Genomic DNA, 15,046 nt, shown 5'->3' with positions numbered 1-15,046 from the left:
CCTTGAGGCAGGACCCAGGTATGCAGCGGGCAAGAGACCCTAACTCAACAGAGTCACACACCACTCACCCGTTCATTCTTTGACCTATTTTCATAGCCCTCCACCTCCTCTCTGGGGAGAAGGTTAAGACTTAAACCTCAAGTCAGTGTTTTGTTTCAGCCCTCCCCGGTGTGGCAGCCTGTTCCAGGCTCTGATACAGGACTCAGACTTCCAGAGAGTCAGTGGTGGGGAGGGAGAAGAAAAAGTTCCCCACTAGGCTTGAGCTGCCAGTCCCCTAAGGCCACCCCCAAAGCCCATGCCCTGTAGCTCCCTGACCCCCAGCCTCTCTCCCAGGTTCTCCTCCTGGGACACAGGAACTGCTGTGAGGTTTCCAGGGTCCCCTCCTCAGGATGCCCCGGTAGAAACTCTGCTCCCTCCGGCCCCAGCCCAGGGACGGCTCTTTCTGGGGACTGTGTGTAGGGAGAGAGGTGATAGTGAATCCCGACTCCCTGGCCACTCCAGGGTTCTGTGACTCTCTTGGCTTAGTGCTTCCTTCGGGAGTTCCTGTATAATCTGAAGGATGAGTTTGGGCTTTTAGAAACAAATTACACATCCACAGATTTCCCCGAAGATGAAGAAGCAGGAGGATGCTCTCCACCTGTATTGCAAAAGGTAAATGGAACACAAAGTAATAAAAATATGGTCATATTGCAAAATAGCATCCACCTATTAATGCATGGACCTGTTCTCGTTAAGGAAATATACAAAAGCAAATGGAGATCGGTTCCATGCTTCCATGGGAAGGGCCTCTCTCTAGAGAAGAATATTCAGAAAGTGTACATTTCTAAAGTGCCACTCTAGAAGCTTCACGTTACGTATGCAGCAGCAATTTTGTATTGGTATTTTCCATTTCCATTTTCTGGGTCTTCACATATATTCAATCAGCGACTAAAAGGGCTTCCCCAACAGACAATGAAAGCCATACAACAAGAAAATCATACATCTCGAGTAGGGGTTATTAGTACATATGTGTTAGACAACTCTGCTCTGAGAACTAACAAGCATCCCCTACAAGAAGTGAAATTGTAAGCATTGGGAAGCAGGTGGCAGAGGCCTATGAAAGTGAAGACGCGTGATGTGGGAAAGTTTGTGTCTGAGAAGACAGCATTCTTCTGCAGAGCCGCTGACGGGGACAACCCCCAGGTACAATGGCATTCTCATTGCTTGAGAGAGTGCCAGGAGTCTGAGATGGGGAAATAATAGTATCCCTGATGGTTGAGTCCACGAGGGCATTATCATTTTGGAAATGCTGCAAGGATATGTGCCATCTTGTGTCATCAAAAATATCAAAAATAGGTAATCTTAGAGCAATACAGTTCCTATAACTCACCAGCAGAAAGGTTCAGGGCACCTTGATGAGGGTGCAGAAATGCCTCCCCCCAGCCTGGTGTCTGGGCTGGTTTCTTACAGCTGATGAAGGAGGCTCAGGCGTCCAGTAAGGTTTGCATTGCAAATGCTCTGGAATTGTTTCTTCTTCCTCCCTTGCTCCAGAGGGCTTTTTCCTTCTGTATTTGCTTATCCTGATGTTTCTGTTTGCATAAAAAGCAGCCCCATAATCCTATGGATCAAAGAACGTCGGGTTTATTGACTGACTTCCTGGTGTCAGAGGTGAGAACGTACCGCCAGACATAGGGGATACTAAGAAATAAAAAAGGTTACAAATATGAAAGCCGGGATAAAATGCCAGCATCGAGAGACCTTCAGCTCTGAAATAATCAGCTGCAGTAGATTTGATGTGCCGCTTTGGCAGCCAGTCCAATAATCTGAATAAGAAAGCAAATCATCCTCAGCTCTTTGGATCAGATCCGAGGAGCCGTTGCACCACCAGCCTGCAGAGCCTCAGAGGGAGGGTCAGGGTGGTGAGCGCTCCGTAGGGTGACTCTCCAGAGGAAGATCTCAGGGCGGAGGGGTTAAGCGACTTGTCCAAGTCCGTGGCAGAGTGCAGCATGAATACAGATTGCATTAAGGAGTCCTATGAAGCCCTGTGAAAATGCTGGCTTATCTCAGTGGTTCCTCTCAGGCCGAGGCTGCACAGCAGAAATGCAGCGCAGGATTGAACAGTTTTGGCAGAATAAAGACGAGCGCCTGTCTTTGCCCATCATGTTGATATTGCAATTAATCTAATTAGACCGATTGGTTTGTTTCTGGGAATCTCCATTCCTTTTGACTATAGACCATACATACACCGCTAAGGTGGGGGTGGCACAGACACAGGCCTGTGCCCATACCCTTGGTTGTCCTGATGAAGATGGAGGGTTTGTTTGCCATTTTCTGTTTCTGACTGGCTCTAGCATCTTCCAAAGACCTCAAGGACAAGGTAATGCCTACAATATGCATTGTGCATGGGTGTGGGTGCTGGTGTTATATGCAGATATCTCTGTGTGCCTGTGCCTGTGTGCGTGTGCGTGTGCATGTGTGCATGTGAAGGTTGGTTGTGAGGACACTTGCAGTAATCAGCACTTTGCAACTGATTCATGTACTCAGTACTACTATTAGCATCTACTACTAGTAAGTTCATCACTGATTACTAGTAAATCAAGAGAAAAATGCTTCCTTTGACATAAGAAGGCTTCCTGGGTCTTCAGTGCTGCAAACCCCTCATAGTGCCACACCCTTTCCTGGGGGGAGGGCCTAGACTACCTCTGACTACCTGGGGGTGTCGCACACTGATGGCCACAAGGAGGGTCTCCCTACATATTTTACAGGAGATGGTGCCTCTCCTTCCTGGACCCACCAGGCTTATAATTTACATCTCTAATAAAATATTTTCTGCTGACCCATCTGTGTTCTAAACACAGAATTCCAACTACAGTTGCCCAAAGCCTCCTCATCAGACACTCCACAAAAGCTGGTCAATACCTTACCTGGAAATGGCTCCTTCCATCCATGAAGTACTGGAGGGTCAGGACTTTTCTATTCCCATGATCCCGGCAAGCCCTGGGGTAGAACCTGGCACATCATAGTTAATCTATGCATGCTGGAGAAGGAGGTCACCAAAGAGCCCTTCCTTTCTTCCATCCTTCCTTCCTCTCTTCCTCTATTCCTTCATCCCTTCCTCCTGTTCTTCCTTCCTTCCCTCCCTTCTTCTTTCCTTCCTTCACTCTCTTTCCCGATGGACTCACATGTAATGCTTCCTTCCTCCTTTCTACTTACTTAGTCCCTTCTTTCCTGCCTTTTTCAATTTCTCCTTTTTTCTTCATCTTCCTTTCTTCTTTTATGTTTTTTCTTCCTTCTTTTTTTCTTCCTCCTGCCTTCATTCCTTCCTCCCTCCACCCTCCCTTCTCACCCTCCATCCTTTCTTTCTCCCTTCTTCTTTCTTTCCTTCTCGCCTTCCTTCATCAACTCTGCAGACTTTGCAAAGTAACCACTCATTCCAGAGCTCATTCTGAATCATCACCAGGTTCATTCAACTTACTGAGTGATTCCTTTCAACATACTGAAATTACTTGCCAAGAATGATTTAGGTGAGATATTGCATATATGAAACCCACATGTCTACCCGCTTTTAACAAAGGGCCCAATCTGGCCTCACTGGGGCTGTTATCTGCTGGTTACTGTCTACCAGACACAGATGCCACATCTTTTAGATGTGGCCACAGCACTGTATGTGGCCACAGTCCCGCCAAATACCAGTCCCAAGGGAGGACTCTCACATCATGGAGGCCACCACCTACCATCACTGTGCCAGCCACGAGAAACAGGAGTCCGGACACTCCTGCCACTGCATCTTGGGTTACAGTTTTACTAATTGTTTGAGTCCAGTGAGACAGAATAAATTCATAACAAGCTGCACGATGCAGGTTTACTACTTACAGACAGGCAGAGAGAAACAAAAGAAACCTTGGATGCATCATGAGCTGGTCCCCCAAGCCTTGAGAAAGCTGTCCACGTCAGACAGGGTCCCGGCTGTGTGTGCCCCATTTGTACCACAGCTGAGGGACCCTGGTGGGCAGCCCACCCTGGTTGTATATATCAGAAGCAACAGAACTCACTGAACAATACTTTGAGGGACATCCTGCTGCCAGGGGAGGGAAGAGGAAAGCTTGGCTTCCCGGGGCAGTTTCTCCCTAACTTGAGATGCTGCATTCCCTGGGAGGGACAGGGAGGAGGTTCCAGCTGCTTCAGATAGTTCCACCCTATCTCAGGGTGCTGCGTTCTTATGCTTTGGTTATTCTGAGAGCTGCACACAGAAAGTAAGGGAGAGGACCCAGTCCTCCAATGCCACCTGGAGAACTGTCTGCAAATCCCACCAGCTTCAACAGACTTCAGACTCTCCTGGCCTCTGCATCTACCTGTTTGTCTCCTTAAGCTGATAAATGACAGTGAGTGTTGTTAATGAAACTTTATATCCACAAGAACTAGTGCCGGGTCTGCCATAGAGAGGAGGGCTGATTAATACTTCTGGATGAATGGGTGGATGAATAAATAAATGCACTAGTGTTAAATATCCTGCCGTGTCCCATATATTGTTAAGGATATTCATGTAAAAACCAGCTAAAATTAGAAATGCTGTCCTATTAATATGCTTCAGTCAAATTCTGCTGAAAATAGTAATTTTGGTTAAAATTTGCATAACATATGGTGTAGCCTATTGAGTTATTTACAAAGCATTCAATATAAAGGTAATTAAAAGAAGTTTGTCGTAAGTAAAGATTCAAAATCAGCAACTTGCTCCTCTGCTTATCTGTCCTTTTAACATTACTTTTGGTAAATGTCAACATTTTAAGACCCAGCATGCATTATGCAATTTAGGGTAAATACAAATGCACTCAGATTAATGTCTTCTTCATCAAGAAAGTGCAGAGATTTGCATGAATGATGAAACTCAAAGTGGCAGTGTTACAAATTCAAGGCTCTGCCCCATTTCCTGACAGCTGGGTCCTTATGACTGATGATATCACAGAGGACAGCTGTACTTCTCTTGCCCACCTGCTTGTCCATGTCCGTGGTTCCTGAAATTGACTAGAACCCAGCACTTTCATTCAATCTATCCATTTCTCTGCATCCCAGACTCAAGGCTTTCATGACATATTTGTCCAGATAGTAGTCCTGTCCTGTAGTGTGTGGAAGTGAGACCAGTAATTATTGGAAAGCCACTGCATTTAGGGAATATTTAGTGGGTCACTTCCACCAGGTAGAACTGGGGCTGAGCTTGGGCTCAGAAGACACTGCAATCTTAGGCCCTGCCCTTAGGAAAGAACAGGGCTGTGTTTGCTCATCTTTTAGCCACAGGTTAGAACCCACGGTGGACTCATAATGCTCAACAAATGCTGATTCCATGAATTTATAGTGAATGTTTTATTGCAAAAGAAGGTAACTATTGACCACCAAAGGACCACCAAAGGACAAATAAATCTGTGCACTGAGAAAGAAAACACAAATGATTTCCCTTCCGGGGTTGAACAGTTCTGCCATTCCCTGTGGTCCTGCTCTTCCCTGTGGTCACTGGAAGCATTTTCTCCTTTCTCACCGCCTCTAGAGAACAAGCCAAGCTCTAAAGCAATGTGGCCCTATGGCTACTGGAAGTCAGGAAGCAGATGCTCCAAGAAGGATGGACCAATCTCCCTGATGCTGTATGTGTGAGACGAAGTTCGCCCATCATTACCCAGCAGGGACCCTGGAACAGTGGTGTCAGTGGAGAATCTAATTAAAGGAAGCACTACTTGAGAAGGAAATATTTCCCTGTGATGAAAACAAGCCTCTTTAGCTCAGCAGCCCTGGTGAAGGAGGCACCAGGGCACTACTGCTTAGGAGCAAGAACTTCAGGGCAAGAAGGTGATGACACCCAGGAGCCTCAGAGCTGTGGCCTCACACCTTAGAAGTATCTTGACAGGGTGAAGGTCTGACCAAGAGGGACATCCCTGCAGGGGGACAGCTCAGAGGGCAGAGTTGGCAGCTCACATCAGTGGGGGACATGGGCCTGCCCAAACTATGATGCCTGCCAGGCACCAACAAAGTGAAGGGTGGATGGTCTCAGCAGGCAGAGGATGCAGGCTCTGGTCAGGGGCATGGCAGTGAGGGCTGCTCTTCTTCATGTGTGTCCTGAGGCCACCTAAATGGTTCAGGCATGGGGGAGTGTATTCGTCCATTCTCACTCTGCCGTAAAGAACTCCCTGAGAACAGATAATTTATAAACAAAAGAGGTTTAATTGACTCAAAGTCCTGCATAGCTGGGGAGGCCTCAGGAAACTCACAGTCATGGTGGAAGACTAAGGAGAAGCAAGAACCTTCTTCACATTGTTGCAGGGGAGAGAGAGGGAGGGCGGGAGGGAGAGAGAGAGAGAGAGAGACAAGGAAGGGTTAAGTGCCACTTTTACACCATCAGATCTCATGAGAACTCACTCATTATCATGAAAAAAACATGTGGAAAACTGCCTCCATGATCCAATCACCTTCCACCAGGCACATTCCTTGACACATGGGGATTACAGTTCAAGATGATATTTGGGTAGGGACGCAGAGCCAAATCGTATTATTTTGCCCCTGGTGCCTCCCAAATCTCATGTCCTTTTCACATTTCAAAACCAATCATGTCTTCCCAACAATCCCTCAATGTCTTAACTCATTCTAGCATTAACTCAAAAGTCTAAGTACAAAGTCCCATCTGAGACAAGGCAGTCCTTTCCACCTATAAACCTGTGAAATCCAAAATAACTTAGTTACTTCCAAGATACAATAGGGGTACAGGTATTGGGTAAATATTCCCATTCCAAATGGGAGAAATTGGCCAAAACAAAAGGGCCAAAAGTCCCCACACAAGTTCAAAATCCAACAGGAGCACTCATTAAATTTTAAAGCTACAAAATAAACACTTTTGACTCCATGTTTCACATCCAGGGCACACTGATGCAAGGGGTGAGCTCCCAAGGTGCAGCCCTACCCCTGTGGCTCTGCAGGGTACAGCTCCTGTGGCTGTGTTCAAGTCTGGCATTGAGTGTCTGCAGCTTTTCCAGGTGCACAGTGCAAGCTGTCAGTGGATCTACCATTCTGGGGTCTGGAGGATGGTGGTCCTCTTCTCATAGCTTCACTAGGCAGTGCCCCAGTGGGGGCTCTGTGTGAGGGCTCCAACACTACATTTTCCCCCTGCATTGCCCTAGCAGAGGTTCTCCAAGAGGTCTCCACCACTGCAGCAGACTTCTGCCTGGACATCCATGTGTTTCCATACATCCTCTGAAATCTAAGTGGAGGTTCCCAAACCTCAGTTCTTGTCTTCTGCATGCCTGCCGGCCTAACATTATGTGGAAGCCACCAAGTCTTGGGGCTTGTACCATCTGAAGCCATGGCCCAAGCTGTACCCTGGCCCCTTTTAGCCATGGGTGGACCTGGAGTGGCTTGGATGCAGGGCACCTTGTCCTGAGGCTGAACAGAGCACCAGGGCCCTGGACCTGACCCATGAAACCATTTTTTCATCCTAGGCCTCTGGACCTATGATAAGAGGAGCTGCCATAAAGCTCTCTGAAATGCCCTGAAGACATTTTCCTCATTGTCTTGGCTATTAACATTTGGCTCCTCATTACTTAGACAAATTCCAGCAGCTGGCTAGGGCTTTGAAGTCCTCCCCAGAAAATGAGTATTTCTTTTCTATCACAGGCTGCAAATTTTCGACCTTTGTGCTCTGTTTACCTTTTAAACATAAGTTCCAATTTCAAACCATCTCTTTGTGAATGCATATGCTTTTAGAAAAAGCCAGGTCACTTGAATGCCTTGCTGCTTAGAAATTTCTTATTTCTCCCCTAAGTCATCTCTCCAGAGTTCAAGGTACCACAGATTCCTAGGGCAGGGGAAAAATGCCACCAGTCTCTTTGCTAAAGTGTAGCAAGAGTGACCTTTGCTCCGATTCCCAGTGAGTTCCTCATCTACATCTGAGACCACCTCAGCCTGGACTTCATTGTCCATATCACTGTCAGCATTTCGGTCAAAGCCATTCAACAAGTCTCTATGAATTTCCAAATTTTCCCACATCTTCCTCTCTTCTTCTGAGCCCTCCAAACTGTTCCAACATCTACTTATTACCCAGTTCCAAAGTCACTTTCACATTTTCAGGTTGTCTATATAGCAGAACCTCACTATCCTCCTACCAATTTTCTTTATTAGACCATTTTCACACTGCTATAAAGAACTCTCTGAGACTGGGTAATTTATAAACAAAAGAGGTTTAATTAACTTACAGTTCCGCATGGCGGGGAGGACCTCAGGAAACTTACAATTGTGGCAGAAGGTGAAGGGAAAGCAGGCACCTTCTTCACAAGGCAACAGGAGAGAGAGAAAGAGAAAGAGAAGGGGGCAGTGTCACTTTTTACCCATCAGATCTCATGAGAACTCACTATCACGAGAATAGCATGGGAGAAACTGCCTCCATGATCCAATCACCTCCCACCAGATCTTTCCCTCAATATGGGGGGATTATAATTTGAGATGAGATTTGAATGGGGACACAGAGTCAAGCCATATCAGGGAATGACCACGCCCATCAGCTGCTGTGGTTCACCTCAACCAGAAAGCAGTCCCTTGATGAGAAGCCCATCCCAACCTTGGGTCCGGTCCACACACATGGGCGATAACAGGGGCCATGTTCCCGGGAATGTTTGAGTCCAGAAGAATGGGAGAGACTGAGGTTCTTGCCATCCCTGAGATGTCTGACGCAGCAGCTAAAATTCAGTCTGAAGCTCCAGCTTGTGTAGTTGCAGCTTGCAGGTTTCTCCCAGTCCAATGGGTATTGCCTGGAAAGAAAGCTGATGGCCCTGCCCAGGGAGGTAGTTCTGTGTGCTGTTTTCCATGGGCCAGACACAATCACCTGTGAGACGCCACCAAGGCCCAGCATTCCTGACACAGAGGACCGGCCATTTGGAGGTGTCTCTGCAGTTCTTCCCTTCTCGCACTCTTCTTTCTGTCATACAGCATGGAGAAGAGACAAGTGCCAAGAAAAATGTTTTTATTTTATACTATTTTAACATCAATGGGGCAGTTCAGCTGTCAAACACATCATCCTAACATATACTACTCACATTAATACTAAAGCATTACAGCCAATTAAATGCAAGAGAAGACAGGGTCCTCTGTCTTCCCTCAGGGATGGTTTCCTGCTGTTGCTCTGTGCAGACTCAGCCAGGAGCAATTCCATCACCCACTTTTGCTTTCATATTATTACATGAGGGGCAAGAAGGACATTTTAGCTTCTTCTGACCCACCATTTACACCAATTAGTCAGGCACAGAGGGAAAGCTAAGAAGCAGAAGTTAGAGAAAACGTTGATGGTGCTTACACCACGTCAGGCACTGTTCCTAGAGCTTGACATGTATTTTCTTATTTATCCCACAGCAGCCCCAGGGGGCTGGTTCTGTTGAGGGTGGGGTTCTGTTGTCTCTTTTAGATCACAAAAGCAATACAGGCTTGTAGTTAAAAGTCTAACTATAGAGTTTTTGTATGCACATTGGTATTCCCAGGAAAACAAATATATATAGCCATGTTTACTGTTTTAGACTAGAAGTTATGAAGGAGCTTAAACTATAATGTGTTTAATAACATGAATGAAAATAGCACCTTGACTCATGCTTGCTTTGCTGTTAAATAGGAAAGAAATGTGGCAATGGAACAACTTCTTTTGAAAGAAATTGGCAATGATGTTTTCACTTGGTGCCTGAGAGACCAGGTATGCCTGTTCTTCTCTTTCGATTTTCTGATATTGAGCCTTTTGTTGTCTTGAGGGACAAGTCTGAGTGGAGGGCAGGCTCTCTCAGTTCTGGACACATCTGTGACTGCTGATGGATCAGGCGACTACTGCCTTGCTGCTTTTTGATCTTCATTTCGGACCTGCAGAGACTTCAGATGTTAGCGGTTGAACTGTCAGATGATGGAGAACCAGCTCGGGGCATTCAAGTGGGGCTGAAGGGATCCTGAGATAAAGTACTGAGTCTGGTGTGAATACTTGTACAGAACAAAAAAAAAAGGGAAACTGAACTTCAAATCTTTCCTTTCCTATTTAATTTCAGAGACATAACTCTTTTTTCTAATAATAGTTTTGAATTTTCCATGTTGATTTTTTCTTATACATCTCAAAGAGATTTTTTTTTTATGTATCTTCATCCCCATGTATCATCTATTTCCCACAATGGAAGACAGGAGGCATCCTGCTAAATGTGTTCCAGGAAGGGTAGATGGGTTACATACATTACAAATTCAGGGAGTCATTGTGCAGATTAGAGCTGGGGATAAACCAACATTTTTCCTTATATGAATAGCATTGCCAAATTGAGTTGGATGATCCAAGTGCATGATGGAGAAACAAAGGAAACTCTATTAACGTACAAGAGAAAGAAGGAATAAAGCAGAGACACTTTTTGGCCACACACAGTCATACACACATTTTAAATATCACATATACAATTTAATAGGCTGATGGTTGGCTTTCTGGTTGGAAGATGGGGCTTCATTTGCTTATGTTGGGTTTTTGATAGTTACTGTTGCTTAATTTTTTAAAATTATCTCAAAACTTAACATCGTAAAGCTACCACATTGTTTTGTTCATGGGTTTGTAGGTAGGGAATGCAGGAAGGGTTCTGCTAGGTGGTTTGTCTCTGATCCACATGACTTCACAGGAGTGGCTGCACCTGGGGCCACGCCTCCATGATGGCTCCTCCTACATGGAGGTGTTTCAGCCTCCAGCATTCTTTCCTAACTGAAGTCCTTCTGAACTACAAAACACAGAGTAGAGTTTGAATAGCTATTTTCTCATTGTCCTAATTACGATTAAAAACTGTTGTTATTTTAGATGCACACAAACAAGATAATTAATTACCTCTCATGAATACCTTAGGGCGTTAAGGTTTAATTATTTCCCAGAACTCCAATTCTGAATGGCTATTTCAGTACATCTCCACACCATGGCTTGGGATTCCTAGAGCATGGGAGCCTCAATATAGTCAATCTCCTCATGTGGCTTCTCACGGGTTCAAGAAACCAAGGTGACAGCTGCCAGTCCTCTCAGAGTTTAAGCCTCTCAGAGGTCAGGCCTGGCACCAGCTTGGTACCTCCAGTGCCACACTCCACTGGTGAGAACAGCGGGGAGCCAGCTCAGATTCACAAGAGGGGCATAGGCCCCCCTCTTTATGGTGACAGTGTCAAAGAAGCTGCAGTCGTCTAGAAAAATAGCAGTGATTTATAAGAGGTATTCATTTCATACTATCTAAGAGTGAGCTTGTTCACATCAGAAAATATTATATGGTTTATGATCTTCCTCCTCTTCTCCTCTTCCTCCTCCTCATCATGTTGAACACACTCTCATGGGTTAGAGAATGAGGAATATTTTCTCATTGTTTTCCAAGCCATGCTTTTGAATAATATTAATGACAAAAAGGAAAGCAGAGGAGAAACATAAAAGTTGGTTTCCCAGCTAACAATTAATGAACCATTTCTCTACTGGTCAGAGTATAGAACCAGTTTTTAATATCTTCTAATTGAGCAAATGCCATTCTGTAAGAAACCTACTAAATATATGCCTGAATAATAGAAGAAGCAATACAGATGCCTTCCACGGAGGACATTCTATGAACACTTTGATTAAAGTAGCCATACTTTCTATTGAATTTACTGCTAAGAAAAACACATCTAACGCACTTGATAATGGGCCCACTTTAACCCCTTTCTTGCACAGCTCTCACTCACCTGGCTACAAATAAATACAACTCCAGACGGCATCTACGTAGTTATCTGTAAAGCAATTAAATTCCACCTCAGCCGCTTGGTTATAAATCACAAAGTGGTTTTCAGACATTCACAAAATAAACATGACAATGGAAGGGTCAAACATTCAAAAAGTTCAGCTCCACACAATATTTATTACTCAGTCTCTGGGGACATGCAGGAAAGGAAATAAAAGATCTCTCCTGAAACCCCTAGGTCAGGCAGGGTAACCAGAACATCTAATCTGTCTGGTAGCTGAAGATGCTATTTGGTTATAGCAGGAAGCTGAGTTGTTCCAGGAAAATGAAGGCAACACCCCAGTATGAAGGAGCACATTCAGTGTTTGACTTGACTTCTGATGCCATTCTTCAAGAAAATGAACCAGGGTTCCTTGGACAAACAGTTGACTGTAGGACTGTGCCTGCAGACATTCAAGAGGAGCCTGGAGCATCTTGAAGCACCAAAAAGTAAGGGAGTCCCCCAAAAACTAAAGGGTGGGGACACACCTATAGGACATGGGAGAACCTGAAAGTGTCCCTTGTGGCCAAAGCTGAAGTGATTTGAACAGCAAAACAAATTGCATAGTGTTGGATTATAAAACAAGAAATCAAATAAATATCCTTTGCCCATACCTATATGCCTAAATAACCAGATGTACAGAAGAGACAAGTCTTCCATACAGAAACATTGCAAATAATTTATGCTGATACTCTGCCTTCAATGACATATAGCGTAATTCTCTTTCCTCTCATTCGGCTGTGGGATGCACTTAGTAACTTGTTTCCAAAAAGTACATCACAGAAATGGGCAAAAAGTAACTTTACAGTAGACAAACTTGGCACACGCTACTTCTGCCAGGTGATCAAAATGAACACATGAACGCTGAGCCTCACGGATAGCATGTGCCCCTGCTATGATGGGACGAGAACGGCACTGGACCCTCTGCTCATCTCCTCTGACATCCGTAAGCCCTGTCTCACCATAAGAAAGTCACTATAAACCCAAGTGGAGGGACATTTTACTAAATACCTGAGCAGTTGTCCCTCAAAATTCTGAATGCCATTAAAGCAAGAAAAGTCTCAGAAACTCTCAGAGGTCAGAGCAGCCTAGGGAGATATGAGGATGACATGCAATGTGGTCCCCTGGACTGGATCTTGGGTCAGAATAGGATATTAGATAGAAATTAGGTGTAGTTTAGCACACAGTGATGTACCAGCGTTGGTTCCTTAGTCACGTCAACATGCAGTCATATAAGACGTTAACAAATGGAGAGACAGGGTAGGGGTACGGGGAACTCATTGTTCTATTCTCAACTGCTCCATTAAGCCTATACCGATACTAAAAGTTCCATTAAAAGTTTGTGGGGACAATCTTCATTGCAATCCTCAGATATGTGCTTCCCAACAGGAGCTCAATCCAAGGTGTGTGTCTAGTGCTCAGCAAGGCTGCCTGGAAGGAGCAGGACCATGATCCTCAGACACTTACAAAGCAATGCGTGATACGCCAGCTCTGAGTGCTGTTACCACGAAGACAAAGGCATCCAGCCCACGCCGGCCTCTGCCATGGAAGCCACTCCTTTAAGGATGTTTACCTAACAAGGCCTGCCAAAAGAATCCTTGATTTGTGTAATTCCAGGATATTAAACAAAGAGATGTTTCACGATGTGACTGTCATAAACAGTGTAAGCAAATAGACTGCGTAAGAGTTTGACAGAATTGCAGATCAGGGAGAAGCACATTCACGGGCAGGTGGCAGAAAACTTACCAGGGGGTATAAAATATTTGGTTCCAATTGGAGTAATTGTTCATTAAAATATGGGGGTGGGTGTTACAGACTGGCGCTAAATTTTACGCTGTTTGTACTATTTGTATAAAGCTCTCCTCAGACACGTAACCCGGTCCTGGGCATTTGCCAAAGTCAGTTCAAGGGAGCTTTTTATGAATAGAGCAGACTTTTACACCAAGGAACATTCTTTCCAGGTGAGCTGTATGAACAATCCTTTCTCTAAACACATGAGGATTAATGAATCATTAAATACTCCCATGCCCCGGCTTTGTCTGGTCTCCCTGTAGCGATCTGAGTTTAATTCCCAGGCCTACACTGTGGCCCTGCCATGCTGTCCCCTCCCCACAGGGTTGTCACCAGGGGGTCCCGTGGGCAGATGTAGAGGAGGGGCAAGGGTCGCCTTTCCCTCTTCTCCTGAACAGTGAGGTGTGAGGAAAGCCGGTAGGCACGCTGGGGTGGGTCAGAAGATAGAAGCCGCCAGCTGCGCGCAGGAGAGAAGGCGATGTGAAGGTTTGACCGAGCAGTGGGTAGGGCTGGGAGCACAGACACCCTGAGGCACCTGCAGGGGCTGCACCCCCACCCCGGGCTGAGGACACAGAAGAGGTTGGGTGATGGGCATCGGAAACCAGGGGAGGGCCCGCGGGGGACATGTGGACCTGCAGGGACGCGGCGCTGAAGATTGTGGAGGGGCCCATACAGCCTGACTCCAGAAATGGGAACAAGCCGCGTCCTCCCAGTGAGGAAGCCGTGCTGGGATGACGGCCTGGGAAGCAGCCTCTCCCTCCCTCCCCCAGATTCTCCCGCCCACTTGGGCAGACAGAGACTGGGACTGGGACGTCGGGGTCTAGGCCTGGCCCTGCAGAGCACAGCACGCGGTCACCTCACACCGGACTCAGACCCTCCGGCCCAGGCCTTGAGCCTCCCTGGGACACTCAAGGAACCGATGACAGTGGGGCCTGGCTCTCACCTGCCCAGTGAACCTGAAGGTCATGGCAGCCCGTCTGGGGATGAGCCTGTCAAGAAAACAGCTTCTGGAGAAAAGAAACTTGATCAATTATCTAAAGTGAAGTTTCCTCATTTTTGTGTCTGAGTAAACCTGCAAAATACACAATATTTTACTTTAATGACCTTCTTTGAATGATATTCTGACTACAATGCTTATTCTATTTCTGGATTATTGGGCACCAAACTCAGTGGAATATTATATGGTGTCATCTCTATGATAATGTATAATATTATAAACAGTGTTGGTGTTTGCAATACTTACAAACCACGTGAAATGCTTCTATTTGTTAATGGAGAATTGTTTAGTATCCAATTAACTCACTTGAAGAAATGCCGCTGAATAAGATCCTAAAACCAGGCAAGTCCATCCGTCACTTAACTGAAGGGGAGAGTGGCTGACACGGGCCCTCCATGGAAGAGCTTTAGAGCTTCCTTCAGCCACCAAAGCACAGGCCAGCTCTTGCACTCCTTTCAGGAACCTCTAGGCAATAAAGCAACGTGGGTCTTAGAACACAAGAGTCACAAACGAGGTCCCTCA

At 45.7% G+C, this 15,046-nt stretch overlaps 1 annotated feature.

Annotated features, from left to right (window-relative positions):
- Positions 14,117 to 14,618: an enhancer, noted in NCBI's record as "H3K4me1 hESC enhancer chr5:3740365-3740866 (GRCh37/hg19 assembly coordinates)". NCBI's record gives its function as "activates a minimal SCP1, AML or CMV promoter by ChIP-STARR-seq in naive H9 embryonic stem cells {active_cell/tissue: H9 hESC(naive)}" and the evidence as "EXISTENCE:reporter gene assay evidence [ECO:0000049][PMID:30033119]".

The sequence above is a fragment of the Homo sapiens genome, chromosome 5 (assembly GCF_000001405.40).
Source record: "Homo sapiens chromosome 5, GRCh38.p14 Primary Assembly".
Taxonomy (NCBI): Eukaryota; Metazoa; Chordata; class Mammalia; order Primates; family Hominidae; genus Homo; species Homo sapiens.
This window is presented reverse-complemented; position numbering and strand designations above follow the sequence as displayed.